This window comes from Homo sapiens, chromosome 11 (genome assembly GCF_000001405.40).
Source record: "Homo sapiens chromosome 11, GRCh38.p14 Primary Assembly".
Lineage (NCBI taxonomy): Eukaryota > Metazoa > Chordata > Mammalia > Primates > Hominidae > Homo > Homo sapiens.
In genome coordinates, this window is record NC_000011.10 from 8,327,208 (window position 1) to 8,347,237 (window position 20,030).

General features: G+C 53.6%; 1 protein-coding gene across 2 annotated transcripts in view, besides 6 other annotated features; it reads right to left on the bottom strand.

Moving 5' to 3' along the window:
• Window positions 1,595-1,889: an enhancer, noted in NCBI's record as "tiled region #11418; HepG2 Activating DNase matched - State 12:CtcfO". NCBI's record gives its function as "activates a minimal TATA promoter and a strong SV40 promoter by Sharpr-MPRA in HepG2 cells {active_cell/tissue: HepG2}" and the evidence as "EXISTENCE:reporter gene assay evidence [ECO:0000049][PMID:27701403]".
• STK33 (serine/threonine kinase 33) overlaps window positions 7,617-20,030 on the bottom strand; it is a 259,405-nt gene continuing 246,991 nt past the window's right edge. Inside the window, exons 13-14 of one of the 2 annotated variants that reach the window (XR_007062494.1) lie at window positions 8,195-8,419; window positions 7,617-7,929 (exon numbers count right to left, since the gene is read on the bottom strand). Coding sequence is in view for 1 of the 2 variants with exons in the window: in XM_047427469.1 (XP_047283425.1) it covers window positions 8,387-8,419 (33 nt within the window). In the remaining variant the exon portion in view is untranslated. Of the gene's footprint in view, window positions 7,930-8,194; window positions 8,420-20,030 lie in introns of those variants that run through there. The other variant, XM_047427469.1, reaches the window with a different exon arrangement.
• Window positions 9,321-10,138: an enhancer, noted in NCBI's record as "H3K4me1 hESC enhancer chr11:8358075-8358892 (GRCh37/hg19 assembly coordinates)". NCBI's record gives its function as "activates a minimal SCP1, AML or CMV promoter by ChIP-STARR-seq in naive H9 embryonic stem cells {active_cell/tissue: H9 hESC(naive)}" and the evidence as "EXISTENCE:reporter gene assay evidence [ECO:0000049][PMID:30033119]".
• Window positions 10,957-11,772: an enhancer, noted in NCBI's record as "H3K4me1 hESC enhancer chr11:8359711-8360526 (GRCh37/hg19 assembly coordinates)". NCBI's record gives its function as "activates a minimal SCP1, AML or CMV promoter by ChIP-STARR-seq in primed H9 embryonic stem cells {active_cell/tissue: H9 hESC(primed)}" and the evidence as "EXISTENCE:reporter gene assay evidence [ECO:0000049][PMID:30033119]".
• Window positions 11,872-12,533: an enhancer, noted in NCBI's record as "H3K4me1 hESC enhancer chr11:8360626-8361287 (GRCh37/hg19 assembly coordinates)". NCBI's record gives its function as "activates a minimal SCP1, AML or CMV promoter by ChIP-STARR-seq in naive H9 embryonic stem cells {active_cell/tissue: H9 hESC(naive)}" and the evidence as "EXISTENCE:reporter gene assay evidence [ECO:0000049][PMID:30033119]".
• Window positions 16,317-16,366: an enhancer, noted in NCBI's record as "active region_4382". NCBI's record gives its function as "activates an Ori minimal core promoter by ATAC-STARR-seq in GM12878 lymphoblastoid cells {active_cell/tissue: GM12878}" and the evidence as "EXISTENCE:reporter gene assay evidence [ECO:0000049][PMID:35858748]".
• Window positions 16,457-16,516: an enhancer, noted in NCBI's record as "active region_4383". NCBI's record gives its function as "activates an Ori minimal core promoter by ATAC-STARR-seq in GM12878 lymphoblastoid cells {active_cell/tissue: GM12878}" and the evidence as "EXISTENCE:reporter gene assay evidence [ECO:0000049][PMID:35858748]".

The following is a 20,030-nucleotide window of genomic DNA, read 5'->3' on the forward strand; positions in this document are numbered from 1 at the left end:
CTCAGTCAAAAAAGTTACCAGGTACACCTGGGGGCGTCTGCAAATGGGAGGGACAATGAGTAAGTCAGAGTGCCGTGTCCCCCATGCTGGCCACACACAGCAGGTGCTCAGTAAATGTTTTCAGTAATATTGTTTTATTTGGGAACTTTTTTCCTAGAGAAAGAAAAAATAAAACCTGAGGTGTCTGCATACCTTGGGTCCCCTGGACCCTGGTCGGATCCCAAGATGTAAAGACAAGGACCCAGGCCCCTCTTCCCCTTCCCATCTTCCCGAAGGCCTGAGAAGGACTTTGTTGCTTTGGTCCCAAAGGAAAGAAGCCAGGGAAGGCTTCTACTTGCAGAAAGGATGACTAGAAGGGTACGGATCTCAGGCTAAGGCCCATTCACTCTCTAATCCTAACTGGCCACTCTTTTTGGGAACTCTCAGAGAAGTTGGTTGTAAACTTTCTGAGAAAGAGAGTGGGGCCATAGCTGACCACCAGCTGGACCAGCCCTCCTGGCCTTAGCAGCTGTCCTCAGCGGCACTTGGATGGGCTTGGCTCTGCCTCCAATCCCTTGCCAACCCAGGACACGACAGCACATTCGGCTCACTGGAGCCACTGATAAAGGAGGCTACTTGGGAGGAACCAATCCAGGGACCACAAACTAGAGGCTTGGCTTCCTAGTGCTGGGCAGCTGCTCTCTGGCAGAATTCTAGGGGTTCCCCCAACCCCTGAGATGACTCAGAATGTGGGGAAAGGGAAGGGGAGTGGCAAATAAAGACACTTACCCCAAGCTGTTATCTGCTTTGCATAATGGGCTTATACAAAAGATTTGTTTTGAAAAAGGGTTTGGCCACTTTTTAAAACCTGCAAGTCATTAGTCTAGGAGTGGCAATCCTCACTGCATTGTGTAAGCTGGTTAATAACCCATAGGGGATTCCACATGTGTGTGAGGGGGTAGGGGTTGTATGCATTTTGTGAAAGAGTCTCAGGCGGTTCTCATATGCCCTGTTTGAGAACCAGTAGCCTAGTGGTTCAGAGAAGGCTGAGCTGGACAGGTACCAAGGACAGGACAAACATGCCCTTTCTGTCTGCCCACACTATCTTCCTGTGACTGATCTGTGGGCTCAGAGGCCTGCCTGCATGTCTTGGGTTTACATGAGGTGCTGTCCTGGTGGCCCGGGCGAGGCTTTCCTAGGATTACAGGTGCAGCATGTCCAGGCTGGGAAGGGGTGGTTGGAACCGTCCCCTGTCCCTCAGGCATGCCACTCAGAGGCTAAAGGAGAAGAAGAGAGCTCTCTGCAACCCCAAGAGGACAGGGAGTCCTCTCAGCATGGCTGGGGCCACAGAGATGCCTCTGAAAGACAGGGAAGTGGGGTCCCTGGAGAGGGTGACGCCACTCCTCGTATTTCTCATCTCCCCTTCCATCCACATTCTCAGTGCTTTGTGATTTGGAACTGACAAGAAGGGGATCCCTGAGACAAAGGGAGGATGAGGGGCTGCCCTGGAGGAGGCTGTGTCCAAGGTTGGTGCCAGGCCCTTCCTAGAGCCTATCGGCCTCACCTGCCCCTCACCACCCGCAGTCCCTTTTCCCCATATCTTCTTCCTAGGCTGGGCCTAGGTGTGCCCCCCACCCCCTCCCCATCCTCTCTGCTCACTCCTGGCCTGGCACAAGTCTTCCTTCCCTGTTCTGCCCCTGTTCCTGTGTGGCTCTGCCCACCTGCCCAGGGTGAGCCTGTGCCAGAAGCCCAGGTCCTCTAGGGGGCGGCAGAGAGAGCACAGGCTGAGCAGCCGATGATTCATTTGTGTCCCTGAATTGGGACAATCCAATGGCCTCTCCGGGCCTCCGTTTTTACACTTGCTTGTGGGGGAGGTGACTCACCGGCCTCTCCCTGTCAGAGGCACTGCTGCAGCTGAGCCGCTGCAGAGAACCTAAGCGGGAGGTGGGAAGGACTGTAGGAGGGTGAGCAGTGGCAAAGCCTGGCCAGGCAAGTGTGCTGGGGACAGCCACTGTTCAGCACCCCCACCCCAGGACGGCAGACCAGCGGCTACAGCCAGGCCAGGACGGCATGCTGGTGTCCGGTGGCCTGGGTCCTAGCCCTGGGCACTTGGTCACTGAGAACCAGGCAGCACTCTGTGCCAGGAGGAGCCCAGCACCCCGGGGGCCTCGAGTGCCCACTCGAGAACTGCCTCTCTTCCCTCCACCCCTGCCTGCATTTTCTCAGCTCTGTCTGACTTTAGGGCTAATAGATTTGGGATTTCTCTTTGTAAAGAAATACAACCCCAGCGCACAGGGGCCGGGAGGTCCCCAGCCCATCCAGGTTCCCAGAATCTTACATCCTCTTTGCCTCTCCCCTGGGGAGGGTTGGAGTTTGGGTCCAGGGGAGGTAGCTGGCCCTGCCCTGGAGCGCTAGGAAGTCAAGGAGGCTGGAGGGCCTGGCCTCTGCCATGCTACACCAGGAGGCCCAGAGGGGTTTATTTGGATTTTTTTTAATTATCATTTTTCACTTTTTTTCTCCTCATGAAAAAATTTTAATACACACAGTAAATTAAGCCTGGAAAAAGGGAGGGGGGCACATTTCATCTTTAATCTATTTACTTCTGAATATTTAACATACAATTCTGGCACCAATCACCAAATTTAACTGGAAAATTACTCACTAATCTGTTTGCTTATTTGGAATAATTGGGTCGGCTGCCAGCGCGAGGATTTCCCCCCCCCCCAGTTTAATATCTCAGTTAGTAGTCCAATTTCAGCTTGGCGGCATAATTACTCTGACAGAGCTGTAGCCACGGGGCCTGTGAGTGGGGCTGCTTTTAAACCGTAAATTATGAAGGATTAGCATTTATGAATTTTAAATCAGGGCTGGGGTAGGAGACACTAAAGCTGCTTAACGCTGGGGAACAGCAGCCTCCACTCAGTAGCAGAAGCCGTAACCCTTCCGCTCCCAGGACGGGCCATAGGACGTGGGAACCCGAGACGCAGGAAGTGGTGACCTGTGGGACACGGAGCCCTAGGAGTTCGGATCACGAGGGACATGGGGAGTGGGGGATGGGAGAGAGCACTGAAGCACTGATGAAGCCCCTGGGGGCTAGAAGCCTGGGGTGATGTGGACGTGGAGCAGGTGCTTTGGCTTCTCTCCTGGTCTGTGGGCTACAGTTTCCCTCTGGGAAGCAGCAGGGTCGTTGCCCGGAGCAAGCTTCGAGTGGCAACCCAGAAGTGAGGAGGTCAATCCCCGCAGCCCCCTGCCTCCTGCCTCCACCCTCCCACCTCCCACAGGTTGGGTCTCTACTTCTCTTAAGAATCCCCATCTGCAGCTGCTAAAGTTTGCATTCTTTCTTTCTTTTTTTTTTTTTCTTTCTTAAGAATCCCCATCTGGCCGTGAGCCAGACTGACCCAGTGCCCTCCAGCTCCGAGTGTGACTTCCTGGCGTGCCCTGCTCTGCCGAGCTGGAGAAGGGCCACCATCGGTGCTCTCTCGGGTATGTGATCTAAGTTCTCACCTTCCTTCCCACTCTTCCTCCGTCCCTCCTCCCCACCCGCCCCTCTCTGGCACCATGGCATCATGGACCCTGTAAAACCAGATAGAGCCGACTTGAAATCTGGCTGTGCTCCTTATTAGCGGGGTGACCTTGGGCAAGTTACTTAACCTTTCTCAGTCTCCATCATAGTTCAGTTCAATGAAGACAGTAATTCCTACCCTGCAGGGCTACTGGGAGACTTCCGTGAAATACCGTGGGCGAAGTGCCAGGCACAGTGCTTGGCACACGGCAGGTGTTTACTGGGTCAGCCCCATGCTCTTTGGAGTCTTCCCCAAACCTGAGTCAATGCCCTGTGTCCACTGCCCTCTCTCTGTCCTCCATTCCCCCATCTCTCACAGAGCATGGGACACTTCAGCGTATGGCCTCAAGACCCAACAGGTTCTCCAGGACTGGCCCCTATCAGGAGAATCCCTCTGTCTAGGAATCTGCACCTCAGCCTGACCTTATTGGGAGTGGGAGCTGGTACCAAGGTTGGATGCTGGGCACTAGTAGCCACTAGATATAGGTCTAGGACATCTGCTGGACCACCAGAACGCTCTGGAGCCAGGCTGGCTGGGTTTGAACTCTTACTCTGCCATTCACTATCTGGGTGACCTTAACCAAGTTATTCAGCCTCTCCATGCCTCAATTTTCTAATCTGCAAAATGGGAATAATAACAAGAGTATCTCATCATGGTTCTGGTAGGAGGATTCATGAGTTCATCAGTGTACAGCATTCAGAACCACATTTGACACACAGGAAGTACTAGCTGTGCTTGTTGTCATTACTTGCTATCCTTCTGAGGGGGTGACTGTCCTCTGTGGGACCTGCCTGTTCTGAGGTTGCAGATTGATTTCCCTGGGCTTGAGATATCTCCAGATTGCCTACAAAAACAGGAGAAAAGGAGGCAGGACCTGAGTGGGTGGGACAGGACCACCTAGAACATGCTGAGGACCATTCTGGACCACATCACTCTGTGTTTGGGATCAAGCAGTCCCTACTAAAGCCAGACCTCTCTCTGTCCCATCTGCTGGCCATGGGGCCTTCCCATGATGCAGCTCTGGCCAGGGGCCTTCTGAGGTACCTGGTGGGGCAGATCCCCAGGGTCCAGGCCAGCTTGGGGGGGGGGGCAGCAGAGGCTGGAGGGCACAGGGAGAGAGCACAGGGATGCCTCAGCCCAGAGAGACCTCTCTGTGGGCCAGCCCTCCTTACCAGACTGAGGGCTTTGCCACTGCTCACCCTCCTACAGTCCTTCCCACCACCCGCTTAGGTTCTCTGCAGGGGCTCAGCTGCAGTGGTGCCTCTGACAGGGAGAGGCCGGTGAGTCACCTCCCCCATAAGCAAGTGTACAAATGGAGGCCCGGAGAGGCCATTGGATTGTTCCAATTCAGGGACACAAATGAATCATTACCAGACTGACCAAAATCTCCATCCTCCAGATCTGAGCTAGAACAGGGCAGTGGTGGCTGGAAAAGGAAGGGTGGGGGCCAGTCTAGGGACCCCAGCATGGAGGCTGAGCAAGTTGGGCCAGTCCCGGACCCAGGTGCCTGGCATTTGGGCCTGTGGACTTGCCCTCTTGGCCTCACCCTTCCTACTCCCCCTTGCTAGCCACCCAGCCCCAGCCACACTGTCCTAGACTATCATGTACACACTGTGACAAGCTGCCACTTCCTTAATGCGAGTCCTCTGGCAATTCACTTCCCCATTCTGGACCCCACTGTGCACATCTGAAAGAAGCGCAGGAGGGGCCTGCCTGCCTATGGGTCTCCAACTCAAGTGAGCGGCCTGCTGTCTCAGCAGAGTGGACACAGCATGGCACCTGCTCTCTGCAGAGGGTATCCCACAGGCCCAGGCTGGGTGAAGTTTGACTTCATGGGACATACTGGATGGATGTGGCTGCCCAGTATCATCTCCATGACCTTAGGCTTCATGTCAGGCCAAGCCCCAGCTTCAGCAACCCTGCCATGGGAACCCTGCTGGCAACGAGAGTCCTGGGGAAATGTTGCAGCCTACTTGCCACATCTGGGACTCTGTGGGCCCTCACATGGTATTAATGCTCTTTTTAAAAATGGCCTGCATGATAATTTTGCTTCAGCAAAGAAATTCTTAAGTATCCCTCCTTTTACCTCTATCGTACCCCACCCACACCATCGGCCCAGGTCATCTGGCCCTTAGGGGCCATGATTTGGTGGGGTGCGGGCGGCGGGGAATGCAGGGAGGGCAAAGGGAGAAGGAAGCACCTGCAGTGGCTGCCGTATGTGTGCATGTCCAGGCCCAGAAAAGCGCGTTCCCAGGGGCCTCACAAGATTTCTGGCGCTGCTGGTCTCCGACCACGCTAGGATGCTTGATGGATGGGAAGTGCCTGGTTTGTCGAGTCCTTGCTGGGCTTTGTGATAACTCATTATATTTCTTTCTTTACAAATTGCCCCATTAGCACTCCTGAATTGAACTGAATCATAAAGCCAGGAGCATCTCAGCCTGGGCTGAGTCTGGGCGATGAATTACCTGTGGAGCAAAGGCCTGCGTTTTGGGGAGGAGGCTGGGGGCAGCTGGCTGGTGTGGGCCCTAAATTCTGCAAGGGAAATGGGTTTGTTTTCTTTAAGCTCAAGAGAATAAAAGAGTTCTAACCAAGTCCTGCTGGATTTAAATAGCAAGATCTGCCTCGCTGCTCATTGGCTTTCAAGCTGGGGGCTCTGATCCCTATTTGAGGGGTTAAACTCTAACCCCATTAAGCCATTTATGGAAAGCTGACCACCAGGGAGGGAGGCAGCCCCTCTTCCTGCAGCCTCCCTAAACCCCACAGATTCCGAAATTGGTTGTCACTCTCAGTCAGAGGATTCTAAACAAGTAGGCGCTAATCCCCTCTGTTAAGGAGATACTTATTTTGTCTGAAAAACTTCAAAGAGCCCATGACAGACACTCAGAATCAAAATTAGCATTCCAATGAGGATTTAAAAAATAATAATTCTTACAGTTCTGCAGAAGAGAGGAGGAGAGGTGAAGTGACTGGCCCGGAGGCTGGGGGAAGGAGGAGGGGGCGAGCTCCTTTCATCTGCCCACCCCAGGAGCTCTGGGGATCTGCCCTGCTGGCTGAGATGTGGAGCTCCCTCTCCATAAAGGGGCAAAGGCTGGCCTGCAGCCTGCCCCGCCAGGGTGGGCAGGAAGTGGCCACTGCCCCAAAAGGATTGTGCAGATGAGGAATTCAAGGCTTAGAGAGGGCCGTGGTACCCTGCCCATCAGTGACTAAGCTGCAGTTGAAACCAGGTCTCTGCACCTGGGGTGGGCCTGCATGGCAGGATGGGTTGCCGGTCAGTCTGCCTGAAGGCGGCAGTGGTGTTCTCTACTGGCAGTGCTTATAGGAGATGGAGACACTGGCATGTATCCCAGGACAGGTGAGTGGCAGAGTGTGGAGCCAGCTGCCTGACCAACACCCCTGCCATGTTACAGCAGCATGAGGGAACTGCCAGAGGGCTGGGCTTCTGACACTTCCCTCCTGATGAGTCACCACTCACCCCCATGCCTGACCTGTCCCTTTGCTGGATGATTTCACCCCAGCCCCACGCCACCCCTTAACTCATCCTTCCCACCCTAGGAGGCCTCTCTAGCCCTCCCTCACCGGTGTCATCTTGGCATTTTCCTCTCTTGAGGGACCCCACTGTTCCAGATGCCCCCGGCTTCCAAGGCTGGGAGGAGCCACTCATCTCCAGACACGCTCCTCCCTCCCAGTTGCTCTGGCACCTTCCTTTCTGAAGCTGCTTAGGTACCTGCAGGGCTCCCAGGGCCCCCTTGGCTCCTGGGCCAGCTCCCCAACTTGCTCTGTTGGCTCCCGCTTGGGCTGCCAGGAAGCCAGGCGGCAGTGCCCATCAGTAGGCACAAAGCTCCCTCCTGCATCCCATGGCCAGGCTGCCCCAAACCGTTTCTGGTGTCAGCACGGCAGGGAGGACCTCATACCTTAGAGACTGACTGCCAGGACAGGGGCCATGGAAGTTCCCTGTACCCTCTGTCTTCCCTGTAGCCCCTTACCCCCAATACACACTGCTTTTCTGCAACACCTCCAAGCTCTATCCATCCCTCTCATCTACCCAGACCCCACCAACCCCTCTCCCCACCTCCAAGGCTGATCCAGAACCAGGTTCCATCTATGCAGTCACACACTCCTTCAATGTGTAGGTGTGCTCTGTGCCTGGCCCTGGGTTGGGCACCCCAGCACATACCCTGCTCTTGGTCTGCTTCCAGCCAAGTGGGAGACACAAGCAGGAGTGCTGGGCCATCGCAGTACACAGGCTGTAGATCTCTGACAGAGGGAACAGAGAAATCCATGCTGTGGCAGATCCTGAGGAGGTGCCAGGAAGTGGGGTCTCAGAGCTTCAGGAGGAAGCCATCAGGTGCGCGGAGGAATGAAGGGCCTTTGGGGTGGAGACCGCAGCCTGCAAATCGCAGAGAGGCCAGAAGTGCCTCGGGCTGAGGGGGACCCAGACCCTCAGCTCAGGCAACTCTGGGCCCCTCCTGATCGCTAGCGGGGTCCCCAGGCCCTTTATGGAGTCCAGGCGGTCCTGGCTACCTGTTCTGTTAACAGGATCGGACAGCACATGAACTTCAGAGAGGGGAAGAAGGAAACTCCCGAGGGCTCCCACCTCTACTCACCACTGACGCTCCCAGCCACCAATGAGAGGGACCCCTTGAAGGCATTACCTCATGCAGGACAATGGCCATTGGCTCCTGGTACTAGTGAAGGCTGACGACCTCCAAAAGGTCCTGCTTTGGGCATTAACCCTTCTTGAGGCAAGTCTGGTCTCTCCTGACAGCCAGTGTCCTCCCTGTGAAGATGGATCTATTCAAAGCACCTTCATGTCCACTCTCTCATAACATAGACGCCTCAAACTTTCATGCTCTGAGACTGCGTAGGCCAGCATTGTCCTATAGAAATACAATGTGAGCCACACAGGTCACTTTAAAGTTTCCAGGAGTCACATTTAAAAAGGATTAATTTTAATAATACATTTTCTTTAACCCAATATTATTACTGGGTTTATAAAACCCAAAACATTATCATTTCAACATGTAATCAACATAAACATTATGAATGAGATATTTTACATTCTTCTATGGTGATGAGTCACAGAAATCTAGCGTGTATTTTACACTCACAGCACAGCTCAATTCCTACGAGCCAAGTTTCAGGTGCTGCTCCACGGCTACACGCGGCTATTGTACTCTACAGCACAGAGACCAGCATGCTGGGTCTACAGAGGAGAATGCTGGGAGGGAGGAGAGTGGACTTGCTCATGGCCAAATGCAAACCAGGCTCTGGGATGAAGTCCCCCGACTCTAGCTCCCGGCCTTCCTGCTGTCCTGCTGGAGCCTGAGGTGGCCCCAGGGCACTGAGATGGAAGAGCCCTGGGCTGGTGCTTGAGGCTGGCATCCCGAGCTGGTCCTGCTGCTCACCTGCCCTCGTATGACCTTGGGGCCCCACTGGACACAGGGGCCCCACCTGGCCCGGGCCTCTTGCCCTGCCAGCTGAGGAAGGAGGGCCAATGGAGACAACGACAGCACCTGTTCCGTGCCAGGCACCAGGCTGTGGGCTGGGGGTTAGAGTTCCCACCCCGGAGGAGCCTGCAGTGGGTGGGACAATGGCAGCACAACTAATAAAGCCTTGAGTGAGGAATCAGAGGACACCGTGGGGGCAGTGAGGACAGGGTATTTGCCATTCACGGGGAGATGGAAAAGCTGATACTTGAGCTGGGTCTCTGGAGAGGGACAGAAAATCTGCCCAGGGGCCTTTTTCTGACTCACCCAGCTTCCTAAAACTCCAGGAGCCTAGTTTTTCCTGTCAGGTGAACAGCCGAGGTAAGGAAAGTGCACGCAGGCAGCACAAAGTGGGTGGCCCAGCCCTGCCAAATGGTGCTATGACCCTCTCTGCAGAGCCTCAGGAGAACAAGACCTAGCCCTTCCCCTTTTTCTGCAGGCACTCCAGACTTCTTTGGCAGAAATTCCAGGTGTAAGCGGATAAATTGGATCTGTGCTTGGGCAGGATGGCAGCCTGAGTTCTGCCTGCCACAACCTGAGGTGGGAGCCAGTCTGCCTCCTGGGCTAAGGCTGGGCGGTGGCTGTGGGGCCCGCGGGCTGCAAGGCCAGTGCTCTGCAGGCAGGGCCAGGCTGCCTCTTGCCCACACCTGGCCACTAAGCCCCGAGGCCGGTAATGAGGATCTCCTGCACCACCGTGGCTCAGAGGAGGCCTCCTGGCAGCCTGGCCTTGTTCTCATTGTCCTGCTCCAGCCCAAATGCACCAGGCCCAGGCCTCAATCGTGATCAATGGGCCGAGGATGTGCTGACGAGGCACTTTCATCTTTTCTCAAGGCTGGTGTTTGAACTTCTCTGAGCAAGCGGCCTTCCCAAACGGGCTTGTCTTCTAAGAAGGCGGCCAATCTCCTTTCCCTTGCTTCCTAAGCAGGCTGATCCTGAGAGTTATTGAGGCACAAGAAAGGAGATGTTCAAAGGCAAATCTAAATTACCGTCCTCTTCAGACTGGGGAAAAGTCTTATTAAGTCGCCTGCGTGTGATTCCCGGCCTATTTCTGTCTGCAGACCTTTCTTCCTTTGTGCCACATAAATGGACACATCTTATTGATTTTCTTTCAACCTGGATCACCTCCATGGCTGTGAATGTGGGCAGACAAATCCCACTCCTTCCTTCCCTGTGGGGCTGAGGAAGGATGCTGGTGGCAGCCAACAGGGCCGGCCTAGGGGGCTTCTGCGCCCTCCTCACCACCCACTTCCCACTGAACTCAGCAACCCTGCCTGAGAGCCAGCACTTTCTGTGGAGGAGCCAGGAGGCCACTGCAGGCCTACAGGGAGGCTTTGGGACCGCGGAGCCACGGAGCCACGAGGCAGCCTGCAGCGTGGGCCAGGCAGAGGGAGCTTGACGACGGCGGGGGGCGGGGGGGGGGCCCTGCCCTCAGCCTGCTCTCTCACTTCCTGTGCCTCCCACCGTTTCTCGTCTACCGCTCCCCCGCCCCCAGTCCTCACTTTGTTCACCCCACTCCAGCCCTGACCCTTGGCTGAGTATGCCACATACATTTCCATTTCAGGGACTTCGCATTTGTCTTCCCACACATAGAAAGCTCTTCCCCCAGACATCCCCAAGGCTCATGCCCTCACCTTCCAGTCTCCACCCAAATGCAGCTTCTCAGGGAAACTTTCTTGAGCCACCCCATTTAAAATTGCAACCCATCCCCCGTATTCCGTGCTGCCCCCACCGCCACACACTTTATCTTTCTGCACCTCACTCATCGTAATTGACATACTGTTTCTTTTCCTTGCTTGTGTTGGTTGTCTGTCTCCCTTCACTAAAATCTCCATGTCAGCAGGGGCTTCTGCCCCTTTTGTTCACTATAGTGGCACCAGTACTTAGAATAGTGCTCAGTATACAGGGGTGATTAACAAATAAATTGTCCAGTGTGTGACCACAGGCCATACACAGGGCCTGGCCAAGGCCAGCATACCGGCTTCTGTGATCCAGGCACCAGCCTCCAGAGGGCGCCACACAGGATGCCCAGCCCCGATCCTCCAGGGAGGATCATCTCTGCTCCAGATCACTGCAGGCTCCCAGAAAAAGGATCCAGACATTCCCCGGGCCGGAGGTTTGGCCTGGGCACTGACTGCCCTAGCTTTGGCCTCAGAACAGATGGCTTCTATGTCCAGGACGATGTCTCTGATCCTATCAGTTATCAGGAACAGGCCCCTTGTGAGGGTGTTTCACCCCACCAGACCCAGCCGGCCAGGACGGTGCCACATCAATGCTCTGGGCCTTCAGCTGCCTCCCACAAGCCACTCCCAGAGGGTGGAACCACCTCTGGGGACCCCAGGGCTGCCACGCACCTCCCTTACTATACCCTAGGCCAGGTGGTGGGTATAATAATTATTGTAGAAACCACCCTGGTTGGCCAAAGGATACCTGACTCCCCAGTTACTCCCTGGGTGGCTTTTTCCATCTCCTCACCTCAGTTTCCCCATCTGCAACGTGGAAAAGGTGACCCAGAGAACCAGAAGACCCCTTCTTCTGTCAGTCTGACAGTCAATGGCCTTCTCATGTGTCCCTCTCTCTCTCAATGGGCCAAATCATCTTTGAGGGCCAGGACAATCTCTGATTTTTGTCCTCATACAGCCCAGGGCCTGGCTCCAAGTAAGTTCTTAGTGGGTGTTTGTTGAATGACTGACCGACTGACTGACTGACTGAATGAATGAACCTGCAAGTGTGCAGGCCCATAAAGAAATGGACCTTAGGCCCCGGCATCACTTTGCTGGTCACAGCTGAAAATCCCCATGCATCGGCTTGCTAGAGAGAAGCAGACAGACAGATGGAAGCAAGCAAGGCCCAGGAATTCTTTGGGGGAAAGTGGCTCATTTCCAAAGGGAAGGCTATAGGCTGTGGGAAGACAAAAAAAATTCCTCAAAATTAAACCAAAGGAGGGGTTTGGGGAGCGATGGGGCTCCGAGGGATTTATTAATGCACGCCTCCGAGTGATTCTTCCTCCTGCAATCCAGGCACGGGGTTAGCACCGACTTCCAAATTATATTTAATTGGACAATTATTCAAACTGAAAAACCTGCACAGGAAACGAAGGCGGTCCTTAATAAACACCTTGTCTCCTCAGCCCCAAACAGGCAAGTCGTTTACTGACCCAAGAGGCACAATTTTGTCTTTGGTAAATTTATTTTGAAGTAATTGCCGACTCCGGGAGTAACCATTTTTCAAAGGGAAACTTGGCTCTAGCCAGCAGAATAATAAATTGTTCCTGACCCGTGTGAAGCCTAATCCCATTAGAAAGATGTGTGCTTAGAGGGTGCAGGGCGGCGCACAGAGGCCAGGGATGGCCCTGCGCTCGGCGGCAGAGGCGCCCGGCTGGTGACCAGGGGAAGCCTCCTGGGCTGACCCGTGCACAGCCACAGGGACCAGCCCAGACGTTCTCTACAGCGGGGGCTGCAAGAGCTAGGGCAAGGGTGGGTGGGAGGTTGTCACCTGGCCGTGGTCGCCACATCGGGGAGAGGACTAAAGCTTCCGCAGCCACCTCCGGCTCCGCCTGGGGCAGGACACAGCCTCCAAGCCCAACCTCTTCCCGGGTCTCCTTTCCCATCTCCTCCCTGACCACGCCTCACCACGCCCCTCCACCAGGTGAGTCCTCACCTCCTCTCTCTCCAGCTCTGCCTGGCCCTGACCCGACCCGCCTACCTTCTCCCTGCCCCTGGTGAGCTTGTGCAGAACCCGAGGGCACAGCGTCTTTTGCGCAGAAGGCGCACCGCGCGACCAGCACCTTGTTGAGCAGCTGAGGGCCTTGGGGAACCTGCTTTAATGAATAGGAGTGCGTTCATAAACAGCATATCCATATGCAAATGAGTACCTCCAACAGCCTGGAAACAGGCTGGTCTCTGATTGCTTCTATTTGAGCAAACACAATTTATAAACTCTGGGGTCTTTTTTCAGGAAAGGAATGAAGGGGCTTCCCTTGATTTACAAATTCCAACTTGAAAGGCAAGGTTCTTCCTTCTATGTCTAGTACAACTCAATGCCCCCAAATCCAGGCTTGGCCTTAGGTGATCTCTAAGGTCCTTGGGAGACCTTGCCCTAAGGTCCCCAAGGCAGGGACCTTTGGTTTTGTTCACCGATGTGTCCAAGTTCCTACAACAGTGCCTGCCATGAAATGATATTCAATAAATATTGTTCACATAAGTGAACTCCTGGAGAACCCCTCCTCCATTGCATCACACAGCCTTTCTTCAGACCTTGAGCAAGACACTAGAGGTGGACTCTTGAACTGTGATTATCCTCTTCCCTTTTTTTCCAGCTGGGGAAGCTCTGAGAAACTAAGTAACTTGTCCCAGGTACAATGCAGGCCAGAGGTAGGAGCAGGACCAGAAGCTGGTCTCCAGCTTCCAGGGCTCCAATGTCTCTAGTCCCTGCTGCCTTCCAGCACCAGCCTGATCCCCATCTGAGTGATGACACATGCAGCAGGGCCCAGCAAGTGAGCCCACAGAGAGCACTGGAGAGCACTGGAGCTCTATGCACCCCTGTTCTACAGCCAAGGAAACAGGCTCGCAGAGCTGGGTCTTGCCCCAGGTCAAACTTTGAGGGGCCTAGCTTTTGTTTTGTTTTGTTTTGGTTTGTTTTTTTGAGACAGAGTCTCACTCTGCAGCCCAGGCTGGAGTGTAGTGGTGTGATGTTGGCTCACTGCAACCTCCGCCTCCTGGGTTCAAGCAATTCTCCTGCCTCAGTCTCCCCAATAGCTGGGACTACAGGCACATGCCACCACACCAACTAATTTCTGTATTTTTAGTAGAGACGGGGTTTCATCATGTTGGCCAGGCTGGTCTCGAACTCATGACCTCAGGTGATCTGCCTGCCCGGGCCTCCAAAGTGCTGGGATTACAGGCGTGAGCCACTGCACCCAGCCACGAGGGGCCTGTTTCCCTGCTCTTAGGCATCAACATGCAGCCTAGGAGTTAGGGCAAAGTACCCCTGCCTTTGGTCCTCTTCGGGGTGGCAGTGCTTGGGCCCCTTGTATCTAACAAGGCTGCTTTATCAGAGGACAGCGACCCCACAAAGCAGGGAGGCTGCCTCCGTTGGGTTCTAATTCCTGGGCCTTCTACTGCCCTCACCCCATCCCAGCAGCTTCCGGACAACCTAAGGGAGCCAGCACCACACCACTCTCATTGACTCCCTGAAACCCTCTTCTTTGCTCCCGCCCCTGGGCTTCCAGATCATCTTCCCCACTCAGTGGCTTCCTTCAGGATTTCAATGACTGTGGCTTCTTTGCTTAATAGGAAAGGAAGCGTGTTGGCAATATGCCCTCAAAGTTTTACTCCTACCTAGAAACAAGCCTAGGGCAGCAGCTGGAAAAACGGGGCATTTAGCCTGCCCCAGAGAATACCAGAGCCAAGGAGTCCATGTCCTGGGAGGACTTTGTGGGGAAGCAGTTTAGAAGCTGGAGGTTAGGAGAGCATGTCATGAAGTCAGACCCAAATGTAACCCCTCCCCTTCCTTTAATGAACTGAGTGACTTTCAAAAGACACACCACCTCTCAGAGATTGTTTCCTTGCCTGGAAAATGGAATGATAAATAGAGTGTAAATTGCTAAATTGTTGTGATCATGAGAGTTTACATTTCTTGAGTGCTTGTTATCAAACCAAACTTGGGCCCACCTGCCAGGCACAGCAAAGCCAAACACTGACATCAGGATTTGCAGCGTGAGAAAGTGAGGCATTTATTGCAGGATGCCAAGCAAGGAGAATGGGGCAGCTCATGCTTAAGACCTGATGGCTCACAGAAAAGGGCTTTTAAAGGTGGGGAGGCAGGTATATGACTTTACAAGCAAAGTCATCAGTCAGTCCACGGAGGCGATTCATCGGTTTGACCTAAAAAGGCTGGACACCTTGCAGGTGGGGAGGAAGGGGAGGTGGATTCAAAGATATTCTCATTTGTGATTGGCTAAGCAGCTAAAACTCTGGGGGTCAGCAGAAAAGAATGTTGAGCTCTGGCCTGTGGGCGTGACTTCCTCCAGGACCTTCAGGAAGAACTTTAGAACAAAGAATGGTGCTCAGAGTTCAGCCCTCAATTCCTCCTTATGTGAGGTCTATGTGCCAGCAGTTGGCCTTTCTCATTTAGTCGGAGTCTGGGTTTCTGAAAAACAACTCAGAGACATATGGTAAGATGTCATCTTTAGTTTCTAGAGGAACCATCATTTTGTGACTCTGTCTTCCTTGGTGATTGTTTTAAGCTACTGTTAGCTTCTTGCTTAGCAGGTTGTTCATTGACTTCTCAATGCTAGCTAGGTCCCCTTGAAGGAACTCAAGATTTTTCTTTATTTTCATGCCTCGGGGCTGGTGCCCCACACTTGCTACGTATCAACCACTATTCTAAACACTTTACATCCACTCATTCATTTAATCTGCATGACATGCTTATGAGGTAGGTATTATTTCCTTGTTTAACTGATGAGGAACATAAGACACAGAGAGGCTCAGTGACTTGCCCAAGGTCACACAGCTAGTAAGCATCCTTCTTCTAATGGATAGAATAGGCCTGGCATACTGTAATTGATAAATATCATTACGGTTATTATTAAGACCTGGCTTTCCTTGTGCCAGACCAAAGAGCAAAAGGAGCATGGCCACTGCAGGATCAAAGGAGCAATAAAGGTGTGTGTCAGGGAAAGTGCGATGAGCCAGGGAGGCAGGGGCATAAGCTGGCTCTGATGCTTTTGGTGGGGGCACTGAGGCTCATCCCCAGGCAGGCATTTGCATCCACTGATTTACATAAGACTTAAGAAGTCCGCTGGGAGAAGGACTTGAACTTAAACCACATACGATCGTTTCCTATAGGGCTCCAGGGCCCTGACACAGATGGAAGTACTCTCCTCATGGCCCAGAGGGCAAATCCAGCCGGGACAGAGCCCCAGTGGGAGCGTGGGTCATGGCCAATGAGCATGAGGGGGCAGCGCCTGTCTGGCCACTCTGGCAGCAGTGTGTGCTGTGCCCTGGGGCAGGAAGCCATCACAGACTGAGTCACAACACATACACCTTGAAACCTGTCACCCAACTGTGGGTGCTCTAACTGGAAAGGAGCACCGCTCGCTTTGTGAGGGAGGGCCAAAGATGGTGGGGAAGGGTCTCCCTTGCCATATGACTGGCAGTGGGGACAGCAGCAAATTCCTGGCACGATGAGTTCTGAGGTGACTGTGGCGGTGGCCGTGGCAGTGAAAGCCTGGCAGGGCTGTGGCTCAGTCAGCTGTCCCTGTGAGCACCAGACCACATAAAGTACTGCTGGAAATCCCCCGCACACTCGGGCAGAAAGAACAGGGAAAGGGTGGGGACTGGGTGCCCGCAAGGCACTCTCACCATGGCAGCTGCAGAGATGCATTCGCGCCTCACTCCTGGGCTCCTGCCCTCATCAAGGCTGGGGCGAGTCTCATAGCTGGCCTCTCCCTCTCCCCTTCCCCAGCACCCCCTCTCCAATCTCCACTCCTCTCCACTGCCCCAGACTGATTGTTCCAGAACACAGTTCTCACCATGCCTTGACCCTCTGGTGGCTCCTTAGCCCTCGAGGGCAGTGCCCCAGCCCCTCATCCTGGCCTCAGCTCTCACCCCTCACCCGCTGCCAGCCTCCCTAGTCTCCTTCACCTCACATAGCTCCCATTCCCCCCAAGGGAATCTAATCACCAGCTTAGCTTTGACTGCCCTTCCACTCCTCCACAGGAACTCATGTGAGTCCTTCAGAGCCCCAGTCCACGGCTCCTTCTTCCAGCAGTCCGCTCTGGTCCTTTTTCTTGCTCTGTCGAGCTCCCAGGAAATAATATAAAAATAATAGGGCTGGACGCAGTGACTCTCGCCTAGAATACCAACACTCTGGGAGGCCAAGGTGAGAGAATCGAGTGAGGTCAGGAGTTCAAGACCAGCCTGGGCGACACAGGGAGAACCCCATCTCTAAAACAAACAAAACACACACACACACACACACACACACACACACCCCAGTTAGCTGGGCATGGTGCACACCTGTAGTTCTAGCTACTCAGGAGGCTGAGCCAGGAGGATCACTTTAGCCCAGGAGTTTGAGGCTGCAGTGAGCTATGATTACACCACTGCACTCCAACCTGGGTGACAGAGCGTGAGCCTGTCTCCAATAAAATAAAAATAAAAATAACAGCAAACACTTCTATAGCACATACTAGGTGCCAATATTAGTCCAAGAGCTTTACCATTAACTCCTTTCATCCTTACAATTGTATGAGGTAGTTACTATATCATCCTTGTTTTACAGTTTAGAGGACTGAGCACAGAGAGGTTAAGTAATGTGCTGAAGGTCACACAGCTAGCAAGGAGTGGAGCTGATATTCAAACGCAGACAGCCTGGTTCCAAGGTTATTTTCTCCTGCGATGGGTATAAAATGACCATTATTTTATATCCATAGGTTTAGGTGTCAGTTAGAAGCTATATTTCCTTCTAGGGTGTGGAAAGTACTTGGGCCTAGGTCTACATTACTGCACACCCCTTTGCCTGAGATGGGCTCAAATCCCACGGTTGGCTGATGACCCTGGAGGTGGGGAGGCTCCGCTCCTGGAGCCCAGGGCTGTGCTTCCTCGCTCAGCATCCTGTGCGGTGCAGACCCTGCCAGGCACCATCTCCAGCCTCCTTGCCTCCCTCCCAGTCCCTGGTCTTCTCAGGGCACTTCCCATGTGCCTCTAGAGCTGCCTCTCCCCTGCCTGGCAAAGACCCCAAGGTTGGACCTGACAGTTTCCAAATCAGCTCAACGTCCCCAGCAGAAAGGCTGGTCCAGTGACTTACCCCAGGACAGTTCTTCCCCTTCCAAATCTCTCCACTTCCCCACTCGCACCTTCCCTCTATGCTTGGCCCCAGAGAAGAATGAAGTTGGATCCCCAAGGCTCTAAGCATCTCCAGAGCTTCACCTGAGAGGCCCCGCAGAGTCCGAGTTAAAATCTACTGTCCTGCTGGAGTTCACAGTCCAACTATTGACAACCCCAGACTTCTAATCTTAACATCACTTAGAAAGTCCTGGCTAATATTAGTCGTAAAACCACTGTGTCTATATTAGCACTATTAAAGGCCAGGCTCTCTTAGGCAAACAGAAGAAAATGTAACTAGAGCCTGGCACAGGGAAGATGCCATTAAACCCTCGTCTCCCTTCCTTCCTTCCACGAATACGTATTAAGCACTTGCTGTGGGCCAAGGCCTAGGCAGGATGCCGGGGAAAATGCTGAAAGCACACGGATCTTCACGGAGCTAACGGTGTAATGAAGGAGACAGGCAGGAAGACCCATTCATAGCATGCGGTTTGGGTGTGCCAGCAAGCCAGGGAGTAGGGGAACGTGGCTCCTCCCTGGGAGTGGTTGAGCAAGGCTCTTTACCTGTGTGGGGGACAGGCAGAGAGAGTCAGGGAGAGCCTTGAGGGCCAGGCTGAGGAGTTTGAACTCCATCAAGATGCTGAAGGGTTCCCCACAGGGGAGTAGCATGGTGAGCCATGGGCTTCAGTGGGATCATTCTGACCGAAGAGGACAGGGGTGAGGGTGGAGGCAGAGACCAAGGAGGGCAATGAAAATCAACGAGAGAAAGATGGTAGAGACCGCTCTTAAGAAAGCAGCAGCGTGGATGGGGAGAAATGTTGCTTCAAGCCAGATTTAGGAGGAAACAATTACAGCTTCCACGTACCGAGTGGCAACCGTGCACTAGGTGGTTGGTCTTTTTGCTTTATGTGCGTCATCTCTAGTCCCTACAGAAATCCTTCAAGGGAGGTTCTATCAGCCACATCCTGGCAGAAAACAGATGGCACCCTCAAACTGAGTGCCATGAGAAGAGTTTTATCAATGGACAATTCTCGCAGGTGTGACCAGGCTTGAGAAGAACTATCAAGAGTGGTGTCGTGCCCTGGAGCTAGGAACAGTGGGGAGTCATTACCACTGCGAGGCCAAAAAGGAGTTATGTGTGGCAGGGGAGAAGCCACTGGAATCCAGGGAGAGGAGCCAGGTCGTGCCACACAGGAGGTGTTGCCCTTTAGTTACGGGGCACCGTGAGCCCCAGGTGACCCTGCGGGGTGGGAGAGGTGGGAGGAGAGCAGCAATAATGGTGTGAAGGCAGTCCCTGCGGTCAGCCTCCCAGGGTACAGGGCAGGGTGGGGCTTCGGGGGAGCCTGGAGGGCCCAGGACATGGGCAAGGCCAGAGGACTTGGGGGCTGAATGTGAGGGTGGTAAGAGGAACAGTCAGGGTGTCCCGGGTTTCTGGCATGGGCACCGGTGGCAGATGGTGGCATGGTGCTCTGAGATAGAGCCCAAGAGAAAGGTGGGGCAGGATATCTGTGAGGAAAGGCCCGGCTTCCACCTGAGGCTCCCGCATGACACTGGCTGGCTCTGTCATTCTGGCGACAGCCTCATCTTGCCCTGGTCTCTTTATTTCTAAGACAAAGCACTTACCAGCTACATGAGGCGGCCTCCTCGTGTCTTCCCACCCCGACCCCTACTCTCATTTTCTTGCTGCCGTAACTCAAGCCAGGCACATGGCCTCTTGTAGCCCCTTCTTCCACGTGGGCAGCATTTTGGGGAACACGAGCTATCTGGAGACAGTAAGGTACAGGAAGGCCCGAGCTCTGGAGTCAGAGAGAATTGAGTTTGGCAGGCACAAAAGTGTAAGATTTTATACATTCAAGATGTGCAAAATCATAGACCTTTATTTTCTATAATTCATTTCATCTTGCTCTTGAGCTCATATTCCCACAGATGACTGGGAAGGGAGTAGGGGAAATACTTTAGCTTACTAATTAAAGATAGCTCAGCCTTTTCCAGCTTAAAACAGTCTCTTTCAGGTTAACTCAACATCTTTTGCATGAATACTCAGTCTTTCAAAATTCAAACTCTCTATCAGGACTGTTTCTCTCCCCTTTCGATATATCTTCATTCAACTTCCTACTTCCTAAAATGGCAGCTGAATGCAGGGGGGAGCTCACACTGCTCATGGTGGCAAAGGG